Source organism: Homo sapiens, chromosome 20, assembly GCF_000001405.40.
Source record: "Homo sapiens chromosome 20, GRCh38.p14 Primary Assembly".
In the NCBI taxonomy this organism is placed as follows: Eukaryota; Metazoa; Chordata; class Mammalia; order Primates; family Hominidae; genus Homo; species Homo sapiens.
In genome coordinates, this window is record NC_000020.11 from 37,722,689 (window position 1) to 37,740,036 (window position 17,348).

At 40.5% G+C, this 17,348-nt stretch overlaps 1 protein-coding gene across 3 annotated transcripts in view; it reads left to right on the plus strand.

Annotated features, from left to right (window-relative positions):
* The window catches only part of CTNNBL1 (catenin beta like 1), a 178,089-nt gene that overhangs the window by 28,659 nt on the left and 132,082 nt on the right, over positions 1–17,348 (plus strand). For 2 of the 3 annotated variants that reach the window (XM_024451947.2, NM_030877.5), the window contains 2 exons: positions 10,191–10,379; positions 14,690–14,796. In XM_024451947.2, coding sequence (XP_024307715.1) covers positions 10,242–10,379; positions 14,690–14,796 — 245 coding nt within the window. In that variant the 5' untranslated portion in view covers positions 10,191–10,241. Of the gene's footprint in view, positions 1–4,613; positions 4,715–10,190; positions 10,380–14,689; positions 14,797–17,348 lie in introns of all 3 variants that reach the window. The other variant, NM_001281495.2, reaches the window with a different exon arrangement.

Here is a 17,348-nt window from a genome sequence, read left to right on the forward strand (position 1 = left end):
TTTTTTAATAAATGCAGCATTGATAAGTCTAATGACTTATGCAAGGTCATGTGGCTCTTAAGTGATTTACCACTAGAACCCAGATTTTTCTGATTTTTGGTTTGCTGCTGTTTGCATTGTACCACCTTAACTTCTTTTAGATCAGTGCTGTTTTGTTGTTAAATTGATGTCTAATTGTCCCTCCAGCACCTAATAGAGTGATGTTCAGGTTCTTTTAGCTCAGTAAATACTTCCTTAATGAATGAATGGATGCGGATGGTTCTGGTGTAGCTGACAAAACAGATTCATAAGTGTGCTAAATTGGAGATAGTTTGCCTTCCAGTGACTTTACAAGTAATCTGCCTATGTTAGTTTTGATAAAGAAACCGAATCAACATTCAGCTTTCTGATGTAGCTGTAGAATCAATCAGAGCAGATGTCAAAGTAAACCATGGACATTAAAGTATAGTTTGTACTTCTAAAAAAGAAATCTATACACCCTTTGGTGGTGAGATGAATATATATTCAGGCTTTAACAAGGAATAATAATTTTTTGGTAGGAAAAATGGATTAAGTCTTTATGACTAGTGATTTAAATCGTACATCACATCCATCTTAGCTGTCAGCCAATCAGATTACAGATCATAAGTGAGACTGTTTGTAATTTTGATTTTTGATACATTGATATTTTCCCCTTCATTGTGAACATTGATAAAGACCATATTCTCCAGTAATTACTGTGGTCTTGTTGCCTGTAATTTGTTTTTAATTGGGAATAAATGGTGCTTCTCTTTTACATTTTGCAAAGACTCTGCTTTGGGATTTTGAGGAGCGCTTGATATCTTTTTTTTCCTCCAGAAAAAAAGGTAGTAGGTTGACATAATTAATTGATCTTTTTTTGAAGCCAGTCTTGCAAATTTGCAGAGGTGTAATATGTATTTATATTTGAATATCTGGCATTTTCACTCAGACATTTCCTAAAAATATGATGATGATAACACCTTTCATTGGTATAGCAATTTATAGTTTACCTAGGGCACCTTTGTAAGGTGTATTGTTTAATCATCACAACAACCCTTTGAGGTGGGTGGAATTTTCTGTCTCTGATTACTTTGATCTCTAATTATGAACTTTGGCTGATGATAGTTGCAGCATTAGAGTGTGAGCTGTTTCATTTGTGGTGCCTTAAGCAAATTTGCAAGGGAGCCCTGATGTTAACTTTGGCAGGTTTCATGCCTGCAAATATTGATTGAGCCAGAAGTCCTAGTTGTAAAATGTCACCAGTGAATGTGCAGCCAGTAAAGTCAAGGGAAAACTCATTACTGCAACTCATCTGTAACTTCTGGGTCAGGCCACTCACTACCATCTGGTAAAAATGAATGTTGAAAACTCCCTTTTATTCTGACAAAAGGTAATAAGAAGAGGTTAACAGCAGATGATTTCTGAGCATTTCAATTTGGTTAGACCAATGCATCCACAAGCGGGTTTGCGACGTTCCACATGTCTAATTATTCCAAGAGGTATTAGAATGCTTTAAAATTATGAAATTCCAAAATAATGGTAGGAAGGAATGTAATTATGTGTATACCCCCCTCTTCTCCTCTGTTGCCCCCTGTCTGACCTTCTTATTGAAAGTGTTTATTCTCGAAAAGGCATTGGGAAGGAAGAAATAAGAAGGATTGCTGTCTTGAAAAATGTAATTTTTTTTTTAAATGTGAGCGAGACTAGAAATGTTTTACATTTCCTTAAGGGGGGAAGTATTAGAAGTATTAGGAACCATGGAAGGAGAGTGTAAGTGGAAAGGTTTCTCCTCAATTGAATGAGCTTCCTAACTGAGTGATTCAAAGGTGGAGGGGGCACAGTTTAGGGAGGAGGTGAGTGTCTGGTCACTGGAGGTGTTAGGAAAGCCCTGGCATATGCCTGGGGAGAGATATGTTAAAAAGGATTCAAACTTAAGATAGATGACTGGGTGAGATCAAGGATGCCTGATGCCTGAACTGTCTCTAGAGCCTCAGAATTATTGCAAGAAGTTGTGGATCCAGATGTACACAAGCATTTTCCGAGAAATGAGTACATAATCTCTGTCTCCCCTCTCTTTATTTGTCAATGTGGACATTAAAACACAAATTCAATGAAAAGTATTACCAAATAATAGATAGTAATTTATTTGTTTGTTGTCATTGTGTCTTAATCATTGGGTACCAAAAAATGGAAGTCCGAGGGCGGGTGGTCCTGTCAATCTTTTTTTTTTTTTTTTTTTTTGAGACAGGGTCTCTCTGTGTCACCCAGACTGGAATACAGTGGCATGACCTTGGCTTACTGCAGCCTCCTGGGCTCAAGTGATCCTCTCACCTCAGCCTCCTGAGTAGTTGGGACTACAGGTGCGTGCCATTATGCTCGGCTAATTTTTTAAATTTTTTATAGAGACAGGTCCTCACTATGTTGCTCAGGCTGGTCTCGAACTCCTGGGCTCAAGTGAGCCTCCTGCCTCTGCCTCCCAAATTGTTGAGATTACAGGCGTGTGCCACTGCACCCGGTTGGTCTTGTCAAATATTTTGACATTAAAAAGGGACCCACATTTAAAAACCTAACTATTAATGGTCAGAGTTCTTTCCAACCTTGAGCCTCTTTGATTTTTTTTTTTTGAGGCGGAGTTTCACTCTTGTTTTCCCAGGCAGGAGTGCAATGGCGCAATCTCAGCTCACGGCAACCTCTGCCTCCCCAGTTCTAGCAACTCTCCTGCCTCAGGCTCCCCAGTAGCTGGGATTACAGGCACCCACCACCACACCTGGCTAATTTTTTATTTTTACTAGAGATGGGGTTTCATCGGGTTAGTCAAGATGGTCTCGAACTCCTAAACTCAGGTGATCTGCCTGCCTGCCTTGCCTCCCAAAGTGCTGGCATTACAGGCATGAGCCACTGCGCCCAGCCGCCTCTTTGATTTCTTAATCAAGTATGTCAGGAGAAATAGGGAGCTCAGTGTGTTGTTTTCTATGGGCCAAACTGCTCTGTACTTTAGGAACACAAGCCTTTAGGCTGGGCGCAGTGGCTCATGCCTGTAATTTCAGCACTTTGGGAGACCGAGGCAGGCTGATCATTTGAGGTCAGATGTTCGAGACCAGCCTTGTCAACATGGTGTAACCCCATCCCTACCAGAAATAAAAAAATGAGCTGGGTGTGCTGGCACGTGCCTGTAGTCCCAGCTACTTAGGAGGTTGAGACAGGAGAATCGCTTGAACCCTGGAGGAGGAGATTGCAGTGAGCCGAGATCGCACCACTGCATTCCAGCCTGGGTGACAGAGTGAGGCTCCGTCTCAAAAAAAGAAAAGAAAAGAAACATAGGCCTTTATGTACATGCATACATATATGCATAAATGTCTGTGTGAAAGAGGTTATTGTTCCCAGCTTATAGACTGAGAAAACTGAAGCGTAGAGGGAGTAACTTACTTTCCAGGACTGCTGAGTAGAGGTGCTAGGATTTGAATTTAGGAAAAATTGACTTCAAAACTCATTCTCCATACAGGATATCACCATTGCAAACAGGTTAGGAATCATTAACTCTAGCAATAATGAATTGAAAGCCTTTTCCTGTTGATGGTCGTTTCTAGTTATAGCCTGTCTAAAATAGCCACTAGTCTGTGTTCTTATATTTTAATAGTAGCTTTGTTTACTTATTTACTAGTGACTTCTTCAGGGTCCTCTTATTTTCTTTCCAGCCAGTTTTAAGTTAACATGGAGAAAAAGGAAAAGCACTATATTGGGATTTAGAAGCCTTGTGGTCTTGCTCACCATAGGCAAGTTGCTTAAACTCACTGGCCTCAGATTTCCCTATTCTATTAATATAAAGAGAGAGAGAGACTAGATTATCTCTTTCTCCTAGCTCAAATTACTAAGTCTTTCCTGTTGTTTGATATCTAGGAAACAGTACTTCATGCCCCATTTGGAAGATCATTTTCTGAAGTTAGCCAAGCTCCTAAGTTCTAGATGAAGAATTCTTGGTTTATTACAATGTTTAGAAGGTTTCCTTTGACTTTTTCCATTTTCTCATTAGAATTGGACATCTTTTTTCATAAAAGTACCTTTTACGAATTATCCCCTTTCTTAGCCAGGGAACTTGGAATGTTGAGCTATATTTAGACACACACACATGCACACATTTACACTTTTATATTCTGATACAAATGCGCTCTTCACATTAATACTTGCATTATGTGTTTTCATAATTTATCATAATGATACCATTATTGCTCATTATAGAAGTTCTCTTTTTTCCCCACTGCCCCCAAGCCTAATTGAGGTCGAGATAGCCCATAAATGTGATAATATAGATTGCGTGCTCAGAGGAAATGGGGTTGCTTTCATAGTGGAGTTTTAATTTAGGATTCGTTCTGGTGATGTAGCCTCTTCCTATGGTACATTACTTTGAGCTCAATATAACTGCATGTTCCCACAGCCCCTCATTATAGCTACAGCTTCTCACTGCTTTTTAATTAAAAAAAAAGAGGGAAAAATGAAACCCAAAGCTTAGGTTGGATATTGTCTGGGTACGCAGGGAGTATCCTAGGCAGATTGCTTATTTAATTTTTTTAACTCCTTCAAAGCTTTCATGAAGATGTCTTGATTTCTGTTTTCAGGGGCATGGATGGAGACACGCACACACACAGGCAATAGGCCTCAAGATTATTGGCGAGTAAAGGCATCTATCTATTATCGTGAAGCCTACTCTGAGCTTTGAGTGAGTGGGAATCCTTTATCCTAGAAAGGCTACCAGCTGTGTGGTTGGATGGTGGGAAATGCTTAGCTTTTATACCACTCACCACCTATTGGGAGTAAGGCAGGGAATTGTAGAAGATTGTAAAAACCCTTAAAGGCTGATGTTCAGAAGTTAAGAGTTAATCATTTTTTCTCTAGTCCTGTGGGCAGCAGAGGCAGAGAAATGACTTTATTAAGAACAGTTGCTTTTGTCATTCCTTCATCTTGAGGGATTCCAAATACCTTTCGGATACCAAAACAAATTAATCTCCAAAGGTGACTGGTAAGAATGGCTTAAGCCTCTGGGGATTGGTTGTGTAAGACACAGGGAGAGCTCAGCCTGAGCTGTTGACCTCTGTGACAGGCTGTGAGTGTTACATTCTTTTTGTGGATCAAGAGCCCTTTGGCTTCCCTTTGGTGAAATCAGTTTGACAGCTCTGAGCTTCTTCCCTGCTTACAATTCTTGTTTTGTTTTGTATAAGCAGTCACTCTCTCAGTGGTGACTATTGGGTAAATATAAATTAGGAAGTTTATTTCTTGGTCAGGGTGTTGAGTTAGCTTCATAATTTTTAGTGTGACTCTTTCACGAACAGACAGGACTTCAACTTTTTGCGTCCATATTTCACTCAATGTTGCTGGAAAGGCAAATCCATTTTAGCTTGTATCAGGGAGCTGGAACCCTTCAGATGGAAATCCCCTAGGCCTGTGCTGTTCAGTACTATAGCCACTGGCCTCATATGGCTGTTGAGCACATGAAATTGGGCCAGTCTGTATTGAGAAACACCATAAGTGTAAAATACATACCAGATTCCAAGGACCTAGTGTGAAAAAAAGAATGTAAAATAACAAATGAATAATTTTTTAATATAGATTACATGTTGAAATGATACTATTTTGGGTATGTTAGATTAAATAAACATATTATTACCTGTTTCTTTTTAAATGTGGCTACTAAAAAATTTAAATTACATCTGTGGCCTGTACTATATTTCAATTGAACACTGTTCTAGATTGTTAAGCTCTGATAACAAGGCAGTGTTTGTCTTGTTCACACTTATGTGCCCAGTACTCATCACAGTACCTCATATGGTTGGCACTTTGTTGAAGAAATGAATCCCAACTCTTATTATTCAGAGTGGTCAAATCTCAGGAATGATTCAAAACTTCCCTATTTGCAGTGTTAGTGTTTGAAAAAGAGATGTTTGAGGGTTAAGAAGAGAAATGAAGAGAAGTTCTTACGATTTTTGCCTTTAGAAGAGAATGTGGAAATAAAACATATCAGGGCTTTTGCATGGCTTACTCTCTGTTGGAGAGGGAGGTGGGAGCTGCTGTGTTGCTGAAGGAGCTGTAGCAGAGCATTGTAATGGGTTCGGCTCTGCCATAGAGTCATCATGAGGAGCTAAAGATAAAGCTGAATACTGTGTGTGAGGGAGGAGGTTGGAGAAACAGTTGGTGAACTTAAAGGTAACCCTCTTAGGGATGGTATACTTACACTATTGATAAAAGTTAACAGAGTTATTCTTGTCTCAATCCACACTGGCCCTATTTATCCCTGTGTCCCTATTTATACACGACCCTGTTGGAAGCCTGGGACTGGCAGCTGATTACTTGAAGACCCTTCAAACCTTATAACTCTTTAGTAAGTTATTTGTTGAATTAATGATTTAAAAAGTATTGTTTTAACTTAACCAGGGTCTTATATGACATATTTATAGGTGGATGTTTTTGCCTGAAATTTCCTCAGATGCCCTGTCTCAGTTAGGGTCCTGGAATCTTGGTAGATTAGCAGTTTTCCAGAGATCAGATTCAACTTTGAGAAGGGACCAGGTTGTCTTTGCATGAGTTTATTAAAAGATCTTAGGTATCCTGTCTCCCTGTTTATGAAATAGAGCTGTTGACTACTTCTCATTGCCAGAGATGTGGTGAAGATTGAAGTTCTGCAGAAGGAAAGTGCTATTTTAATGGGAATTTAATAAATGAAACTCCTCCCCTGACTTCTGAAATGTTTGTTTTAAAGAAGAGGATTGGAAGATGTGTTCAAAAGAGACATAGCTAGTGTTTTTTTTTTTCTATTTTGCATTTCTTAACTGTGGCAATATTTAGCTTTCTCCTTTTAATTGTGGCCCACTGCCTTTTCTTTCTCCCCTCGGAGATAAACAATCTAGAAATCTCCTTTCCGTGGAGAACTATGGAGCTCATGCCTTAACTTGGCTGCTGCAGCAGGCTCACGCTAATCAGAATCGCAGCAGGGCTTATTTTATGAGCTTGAAAGAATTAGTGTTCCCAGAGGGCTGAAGTTCCTTACCTGCTGAGGAGCTACAGATTTCCAGTTGGAAGCCTGCCCTCCTTTAGGATGAATCTACCTTCCCTTCCTCTTCTTACATGAAAACCACCACCTCCTTTTTTATTGTAGCCTGTCTGTGGTTACTGGCATGTTGCTTTCCTTTTTATTTTTCTTTTTTAGGGTAGAGCAGTAATGATGATAGTACATTTTTGTAATTTTTGTCCTTATGGAAAATAAAGTGTGTTCATACGAAATTATCATCTAGCTCAGGGAGACTAGGAAGAGAGTGAAAAATAGCAGGTGGTACCCTACAAACTAAATTGTCGAGTGTGAGTTTTCTAAACAATGTCATATGCTCAGACTTACTAAAGCACCTGGTATGTGGAGCAAGCAGGAAACATGAATAAAGAGGGGAATGACTTTCTACCACTGGCAGAGTACTGTTCAATACAAGTCAAAAGGGGAGATGTGTAACATGTATAATAGAAAATTTTCTCTTATTACCAAACAACTTAGCAGGCTGGCAGTGAAAGTGGCATTTTCTTTTGTTTGGTAGTAACATACCACATTGCACCAAGCATATCGCTGGTGGGTGTGATTACTATATCAGATAAAGAAATCTCATTGAAGAATCTAACACAAATGTTTTGTTGGAGAAGACAGAATCATGTGGATTACCTCACAGTGATGATTTTATGTATTTGTTTAGTACCATTATGGTTTAGAGTTCTTTCACTTGAAGTTCACAGAGAAAAGAATTATAATGTCCATTTACAGATGAGGAAACTAAGGTTTAGAGAGGTAGGTGATGGGCCCAAAGTTGAACCAGGAGTAAGTTGAGCTGAATGGAGACACTGGGCTGTTTGGTGTCTGGGCAGTGCTGTGTCTCTTCAGCTCTGAAGCCCCTTTCACTACTGCTCTGTTTTATTCTAATTTAATGGAAAACAACAGTAAGACCTTCTTCATGGATTGCATTGTAAAAGGCAAAATGAGCTGGCTGCAGTGGCACACACCTGTAGTCTCAGCTATTCAGAGGGCTGAGGCAGGAGGATTGCTGGAGCCCAGAAGTTCAGGTCCAGCCTAGGCAACATAGTGAAACCTCATCTCTAAAAAGTAAACAACAACAAAAGGCAACATGAGGTCCTAACAGAGTATGGTAGAAAGGTCCTTGGACTAGGAGTCTGGAAGTGCCAGTTCTATTTTCAGTGGTGCACGAGTGGTTTTGTGATCTTATGTAATACTTGGCTTCTGGGCCTTTATTATTATTATTATATTTGATTTAAAAAACTTTTATTTTTAATTAGCAAATAATTGTATATATTTATAGGGTACAAGGTGATATTTTGATATATGTTTACAGTCTGGAATGATTACATCAGGCTAATTAACAAATCTATCACCTTTAATACTTTTTCTGTAGTGAAAATATTTAAAATCGTTTTATCAATTTTTAAATGTACAGTTCATTATTATTTATTATATTCAGCATTCAGTGCAATAGATCACTAAAGCTTATCTTCCTGTTTAACTGAAACTTTTTTTTTTTTTTGAGACGGAGTTTCACTCTTGTTGCCCAGGCTGGAGTGCAATGGCACGATCTCGGCTCACCGCAACCTCTGCCTCCCGGGTTCAAGCGATTCTCCTGCCTCAGCCTCCCAAGTAGCTGGGATTACAGGCATGCACCACCACGCCTGGCTAATTTTGTATTTTTAGCAGAGATGGGGTTTCTCCATGTTGATCAGGCTGGTCTTGAACTCCTGACCTCAGGTGATCTGCCCGCCTCAGCCTCCCAAAGTGCTGGGATTACAGGTGTGAGCCACCGCACCCGGCCTTACTGAAACTTATACTCTTTAGTCAACATTTCCCTCCGTCTCCCTTCCTCCCCAGCCTCTGGTGACGATCATTCTACTCTCTACTTCTATGAGTTCAGCTTTTTTAGATTCCACATACAAGTGAGATTACGAGGTATTTGTCTTTCTGTGCCTGGCTTATTTCACTTTGCTTAATGTCTTCCAGGTTTATCCAGGTTGTCTCAAATGACAGAATTTCCCCACTTTTTAGGGCTGAGTAGAATTCTATTGTGTATGTATACATTTTTTTTATCCATTCATCTAGTGACGGACACATAGGTTGCTTCCATATCTTAGCTATTGTGAATAATGCTACAATGAACAGGGCAGATATCTTCTCAGCATACTGAATTCAATTCTGTTGGTTACATACCCAAAAGTGGGATTGCTGGATCATATGATAATTCTATTTTTAATTTTTTGAGGAACCTCCATCTGTTTTCCATCATGGCTGTATTAATTTGTGTTTCCATCAACAGTGCACAGGGTTCTCTTTTCTCTACACCCTCAACAACACTTTATCTTCTGTCTTTTTCATGATAGCCATTCTGATAGGTGTGACATGATAACTCATTGTGATTTTTCTTTGCATTTCCCTGATGATTAGTGATGGTAAGCATTTTTTTCATATATCTTCTGGCCATTTGTACATCTTCTTTTGAGAAGTGTCTATTTAGGTCCTTTGCCCAGGCTCTGGGCCTTACTCAACTCTTCTGTAAAATAGAATTGGGAGTACAGTAGACATTCAGAAGTTACATATGTAATATTTTATGTTTGTACTATTTGTGAGTAACTGTAAAAAAGGCTTTGTAATCTTACGTAGATGTGAATTAAAACCAGGTGCTAAGACGCTGGCATTGGGAGTTATATCTTGACTAGTATGTGAGCCTAACCCAGTGTCCCCATCTTAAGATAGCTTTGTTGCTATTTCCGTATACATAGGAACTTTTGTGAAATGGCAAAACTGCGTATAAAAAAATTCCCACTGACTTTCATGGTATATTTATAGAATCATTAAGGATCTGAAAAATGACCACATAGAGCTTTACCCCATGTGGTGGGAGAAGTTGTATGCTGGATGCTTTTGAGTCAGAGAATTCTTGAAAGCTTTTAGGATATTTGCTGTCTATGCCTTGCAAAGTCTTTTTTTGTATTTTTTGTAGAGTCAGGGTTTTACCATGTTGCCTCAGGCTGGTCTCAAACTCCTGGGCTCAAGAGATCTGCCTGCCTTGGCCTCCCAAAGTGCTGGGATTATAGGCATGAGCCACCACGCCTGGCTTCTATGTTGTATCCAGCTCTAAAATCTTATGTTTCTTTTCTCTCAGCCCAATAGGGGCACAAAACGTCCCCGGGATGATGAAGAGGAGGAGCAGAAGATGCGTCGGAAACAAACTGGTACTCGAGAACGCGGCCGCTATCGGGAAGAAGAAATGACTGTGGTGGAGGAAGCGGATGATGACAAAAAAAGGCTGCTGCAGATTATTGACAGAGATGGGGAAGAGGAAGAGGAAGAGGTAACGTGGCAGCGCTGGGTGGGAGCTGAGATGGCTGGCCCTGTAAAACGTAATTTTGGGCCAAATACTAAGCTTGTCTGAGCTTCCCATCTTCATCTGTAAAATGGGGTTAAGAATTCATATTTCATCGCGTTAATGTGAAGGTTAAGTGGGCTAGTGCAGTTGGGAAAGCATCTTATGAGATGTAAAGAATGTGACAGAGTTTTAAAATTGTTCCATATTATGTACTGTAGGGGAGGGTCAGGGCAGGCTTCCTGGATCTTACTGAGGACACATAGAAGGCACTTGCATTATTATCTTTGAAAGAGGGGTCAAATTTCACCAAGTGGAAGGAAGGGCTTTTTGGGCAGAGAAAATGGTATTAGCAAAGCAACAAAAGTGGAGAAGTTTAATGGGTTCCACAGTATTAGGTATTTAGGTGTGACTGCAAAAGTACAGCTTAGGGAAGGAGATTCCTCGGGCCTTTCCCTTTGCTGTTCCTCAAGATGCGTTGGGGCCTTTCCACTCATTCCTGCCTCTGGACCTTTGGACTTCTGTGTCCTCTGTTGGAATGCTCGTCTCCCTTAATGCTTTGTATGACTGGTTTCTTCACATTCAGGTCTCAGTTCAGATGTTTCCTCCTCCAAGAAGTCTTTCCTATGTAGCCCTGCAAGCCATTCTCTCATTTCCTCATTACTGTATTTTGTATATTGTCTGCATAGCACGTATCATGATTTGAAATTCTAGTTGTTTATTTTGCTCATTGCTGTCCTCCTCTCAGCCTCCCATGAAAACAGAGACTGGCTCTGTTCTGTTCACAGCTCTATCTTTGGCACCCAGAGCAATACCTAGCTCTTGGTAGGCCCTTAATAAATATTTATTGAATGAATAAATGAATGAAGCTGGGAAGAGTAGAGGTAAAATATCAGTGATTAAAAACAAAATGACCTTACCTCTGTGTCTTTTTAAATCTTTAAGTGTTAACTTGTGTGTTATTTCACTCTGGCATTTTGTTCAATATGAATTATGGAAATAAGAGTCTTAAGAGCCAGCTGTTTTTTGGTTCTCTCAAAGACACGATGCTAAGTTTGGATTACAAAATGAGGTTGGCTGTGAATCTGAGAAGAAGAAAAAATGGATTCATATTCCAAAAAGGTCTTTACTGTGTTGTGACAATAGCTCTGTCTTTATTAGGATTTGTACTAGTGCTAATTTGGGGGTCTCCCGCTAAAAGATGATGGCACTTTAGAAATACGTGGTGGGAGACAGTCCTGAATTTTTTAATTTCCTCTCTGAGGGCAGCAGCCTTGCCAGGGCTTAGACAAACAGTGTGTGTAGCACATCCTCCCTCCCTTCCCTCCTCACCAGCTTCTGCTCAATCTGTTAGCCCTGCAGCAGCAGTTAATTGGCAGGTATAATTCCCATGTAGGGCAAGGCTGGTACTGGAGGATTAGGATAGTAGCTGTCATGGGTAAGTGGTTTCTAGCCTGGGAGACAGAAATGTAATGTGGGACCAACCCGTCTGTTAAGGGACAGGGAAAAAGAGATCGCTTTGTAAAAATGACACATGGAAGGCTACAAGTCCAGGAGTTATTTTCTCACTGCCACTGAAGTCCCATTTGATGAAAAACAAGTGATGTTTGCCCCTGTAAAGTCACGTGAACTTGTAAAATATTATTGTCCTTTTTGTGCTACATCATCAGCATTCATCTTTCTGAAATCTCCCTCTGGTTTCTGACGTTGAGCTATTGGAGATACTGCTGTGGCTGATGACTAAGACTGATAATTCAGTTTTCCCCCAGTGTTGGAGAGAAATTAAAGGAGGGAAGGCCAAACCCCGGAGAGGCTAGGACTTCGGAAATCCCATGAGAGCTGTGTTAACACTAATGTGGTTTTTCTCCAGAGTGGGGCAAGATGTTAGCTAAGAAAAGAAAAAGTAGCAGATATTGAGCTTACTTGAAAGTGATTTAACCCTTTCCTAGAAATGTTTTGATTATTTTAGTTAAATTCTAGTGGTATGTTGGGTACATTGTGCCTGTTGCTGATAATAACCATAACAGCTTGCATTCATGTAGTTTACAAAGTAGTTTTATGTACATCCTTTCTTTAGGTCATCTCTATGACCTTGAGAGATAACAGGTAACAATTTCATTCATCCCCTTCCTTCCCCTCCCCTCCCCTCCTCCCTTCCTCCATTCCTCAGATCTTCACTGAGTACCTGCTGTGTGCCAGACACTGGAGAGTCTACTTATGCCAGAGAACAAGTAGACATGGGCTAGCAATGGGAGTCTTTGCACTGGTTTGGGGTTGGAGAGATTATCTGGGCAGATCCTGCCAGATCCTTACGTAGATCATGTGAGGGATTTGGGATTTTATTCTAAGTGTGTAGTGGATGAGTTCAGGAAAGACTTAGGAGATAGAATTAGCTGGACTTGATGAAGCTTTGAGAAATATATTCAGCAAAGTAACATTGTCCCATGGCTAGTAAGTAGTGAAGCTAGGCTCTGAGTCTTGACTGAGCCAGGACTCTGACTTGTTTTTACTGTGTCAGGGAACCTGTCTTTAAGCTGTAGACCCTGGGGAGGAGGTAGGGGTTCAATAGAGAACCTTGGGATCTAGGAGTCATTGGTATAATCTAATAAATGTGTCATGCTGAAAATGAATTTATGGGTAGCTCCCACTTAAAACCCCATATGTGGAAATAGAAATTTAATAATAGAATAATAGCTAACATTTTTGAGTACTTATAAAATTATGGGATGATTCAGTGCTTTCCAAAAGGATCTATTTCAGGTTCTCTTAATAGCAGTTTCTTTATTGCTTTTAGGTGTGAGTTATGGTCAATGACTACAAAGCTGTGAAGCTTTGAGTTGGGATAGTATGAAGAGAAGCAGGGTGCATTGCAGCACATTAATTTAAACTGGAAGGAAACTGAAGATAAAACGTGTGAAATTTCAGTGTAGATTTTTTGGAGAAAAAATGATTTAGTTTTCAAATATTCATTTTATTTGCTTTCATAGGTATTATTCCAATGTATGAAGCCAGAAAATTCTGTACAGTCTACTAGCTTTTTTTTGCATTCTCTAGGCAAGGTTACTAAATTCTTGATGCTACTTCAGGGTTCAAAGTACCTGTCTGAATTCCTTCTCAGCATCTAGTAAGTACCAGGCAAAGTAATATATAAGAAATGCTAAGCAGTGACTATAGCTAATTAACAACCGTTCTTAGTTTACGCACTGTGGAAAAACAGGCAGTAGGTTGGATTTGGCTCATGGGCTGCAGTTTGCCAACTTCTGCTGTAGGAAAAGATTAAGGGTCACTGTCACTGACTCAGAGTTTGACCTTAAACAATTCTTTTAAACCTGTCAGTCTTATCTTACATGTATAGCAAAGGATGACAAGGTAAATGTATAATAATATTATCTAATATTGTTGCTTACTCTCTGCCATACAGTGTGCTCAAGAAATATTTGTTGAATGAGTGAGTCTTTAACAACTTTTCTTTTTTTTTTGAGACAGAGTCTCCCTCTCTCACCCAGGCCGGAGTGCAGCGGCACAGTCTCGGCTCACTGCAACCTCTGCTTCCCAGGTTCAAGTGATTCTCATGCCTCAACCTCCCGAGTAGCTGGGACTACAGGCATGTGCCTGTATTTTTAGTAGAGATGGGGTTTTGCCATGTTGGCCAGGCTGGTCTTGAACTCCTGACCTCAAGTGATCTGCCCACCTTGGACTCCTGAAGTGCTGAAGTGCCCAGTCTTTAACACCTCAAACCGAATTTTCTGTGTTACAGATAGTGGGCATTGTGTGAGACACCCAATGTGATATACCCGAAAAGAAGCATGTGATTACAGGCCCTTACTCCTCATTGTAATTAGAGAGATAAAGTGTGTACTGTGGCCGGGCACAGTGGCTCACACCTGTAATCCCAGCACTTTGGGAGGCCAAGGTGGGCAGATCACGAGGTCAGGAGATCGAGACCATCCTGGCTAACACGAAGAAACCCTGTCTCTACTAAAAATACAAAAAAATTAGCCGGGCATGGGGGCATGTGCCTGTAGTCCCAGCTACTCGGTAAGCTGAGGCAGGAGAATCGCTTGAACCTGAGAGGCAGAGATTGCAGTGAGCTGAGATCATACCACTGTACTCCAGCCTGGGCGACAGAGCAAGACTCCATCTCAAAAAACAAAACAAAACAAAAAAAGTGTACTGTACATTGAACCCAGAAAGGTCAATGGCAGAGTGAGGTGGGGTATAAGAGCCACAGGAAAGTAGTGACAATGAATGTGAAACCCCTGTGGACTGAAGTTTTTGCATTTGTCTCTTTGTACCAGGAGGAGCCATTGGATGAAAGCTCAGTGAAGAAAATGATCCTCACATTTGAAAAGAGATCATATAAAAACCAAGAATTGCGGATTAAGTTTCCAGACAATCCAGAGAAGTAAGGTTCTGTTCCACTGATACCATGTCTCCTCTGTGGCGTTTCGTTGGCTAATTTTGTTTTGATTTTGGTTTGTTTTGGCTTTTGTGATTTGGGCCAGGAATCCCAGGATGACCCCCATGTTTGGGAATTCACTAGAAGGACTCCCAGGACTCAAAGTCAGTGATACTCAGGGCTGTGGTTTATTACACAGGGCACACAACAGGATCAGCAAGAGAAAAAGACACATCAGGTGGCATCTGGAGAAATTCAGATACAGGCTTCCTATGTTTTCTCCTTCCCAGTGGGTGGGATTATACAAACATGCTTCTTTCTTCAGCAATGAAATGCATCAACATGTGTGCAGTGATGCTGTCCAGGGAAGCCCATTTCAGACTCTGAGTTCAGGGTTTTTATGGAGGACTGGTCATGTAGGCATTCTCTGCCTGTAATAACAATAACAACCAAAATTGTAGGCTCCTGGAAGGAAAGCAGCTGTTCAGTGCCCCGGGCTGACAAAGCAGCAACCTTATCACTTAGGGAACATTTCAAAAGCCAAATTCCTGGCTGCCAGCCTAGGGCCAGCCTTGTAAGCTAGCCCTTTTCAAGATCAGCCCCGCAGTTAACATATTAACTCTCCTGCATTATTCTTTTCAGTGCCCAAAGAAGACTGATCGTGCCTGCCGTTAGTGATAGCTTTACTGTGGAGATCATTTCAGAGGCTCTGAAGTTAGACAGATATTGGTGTGATACACACATCCCTTTGAATAAGTTACTTCCCCTTTCTTAGCCTTGGGTGTCTCATCTGTATAAGGAAATAATGCCTTCCTCACAGGGTTGTATGAAGATTAAAGGAGAATAATGTAAGTGTTTAGCTTAGTACCTGGCACATAGTAGGTGCCCATGAGATGATAGTTAACGTGAGTTTTACTACACTGGCACCTTGGTGCACTATGAAGTGCTATGTGAGGAATCTGGCATCTTTCAGTCAGTCTTGAATCCTAACCAAGGGGACTTTCACATTTATACGATTTTAATGTTCTAAACCTCTCTTTCTTTCCCTATCTTTGTCCCTCCCAGGACATACAATTTTAATGAATCTTAATATGCCCAAGGCCCCCAGGCAATTAACAATTGAGTAGTACAGGCTTTGCACTCAAGTTTTTAGGTTACTAGGGAGACTGACTATAAAGGCAAGGTAGAAGGAAACAGACACTTTAAAAGAGATATAATAGGAGAAGAAACAGTAAATACCAAGTTGGGGGCTATTGAGGGTGTCACAGAAAAGATAGTAGTTGAGCTGGGCCTTGAAGATTCATTTTTATTAGGCGGAAAAGAACACAGGAAGGCATGCCAGGCAATATGAGGAGCATGAACAAAGGCACAGAGGTGTCAGCGGGCACAGAGTCTTCATGGCAACCTAGAGAGGCCAGCGTGGTCAACTATGTTGTCCCTGTGCTGTGGATGAGAAGGCAGAGTGGGGAGAATGTGGTTACTGGGCCTAGGGCCACAGCCCTCTTTGATAGTAGGAGTAGCTATTAATAGATCAGGGCCCAGCTTATCCAGCATTAGAGTCCTATCAGGTTTTGTACTGATCTCCACCATACAGGAGCACTGTGTGTGTGTGTGTGTGTGTGTGTGTGTGTGTGTGTGTAATTACACAAGTAATGCATGAATAGATTGTCATTCTGAAAATACCAGTGGTACATGAGTAGAGTGAAAAATGAAAGTTTTCCTTCACTACTCTGATCCCTTTCCATTCCTCTGCCTAGAGGAACCTTGTGAACAGTTAATTATGCAAATGTATTTGTTTCTACTTAAATCATACTGTGCATATTCTGCACCTTGATTTTTTGGGTCATCTAACAGATCTGTCCAGGTGGTACATGCATATCTACCTTGTGTTTTTTTAATTGGTGCATAGTATTTCATGGTTTGGAAATACCATGACTTATTTAATTATTTTCTATTAATGGACATTTGATTATTTTAAAATCGGCTTTTATGAAAAATGCTATAGTGAACCTACTTGTACATGTGTCTTTGTGTGCATATATTTCCATAGGATAGATACCTAAATTTTGAATTCCCAGATTGAAGGGTATGTACATTTTAATGATAGCTACTGCCAATTTTCTCACTGTATTTTTAAATTCTCCCCCCAGCAGCAGCATCTCTTTTCTTGTGTTCTTGCCCACAATGCATGTGATCAGTCTTTAACATCTTTGCCATTTGTTTTGTTGTTATTTCTGTACTCAGTGGTTCCTGCATTAGACTCTGTTCCTTTTAGGAGATGGACGGTGTCTTGTTTGTCTCTAGTGCCTACCACAGTACTTGCCTTGCTGTAGGTGTTCAGTAAACATGAGAGAGCTCATGTAGTCCCTGTCGTCTTTATTACATCCCCATTGCTTGAACCTAAGGATACATTATGAGGAAGCTATGCTGCGGGTAATGATACTGGAAATTTAAGAAATTCAGTTTACTTCTTTGAACACCAGTATTTCCTTCGCCCGCTTGGTAGATACACGTCTCTCAATTTGGAGCAGAGTTTCTGCAGGTTATGTTCACCATCT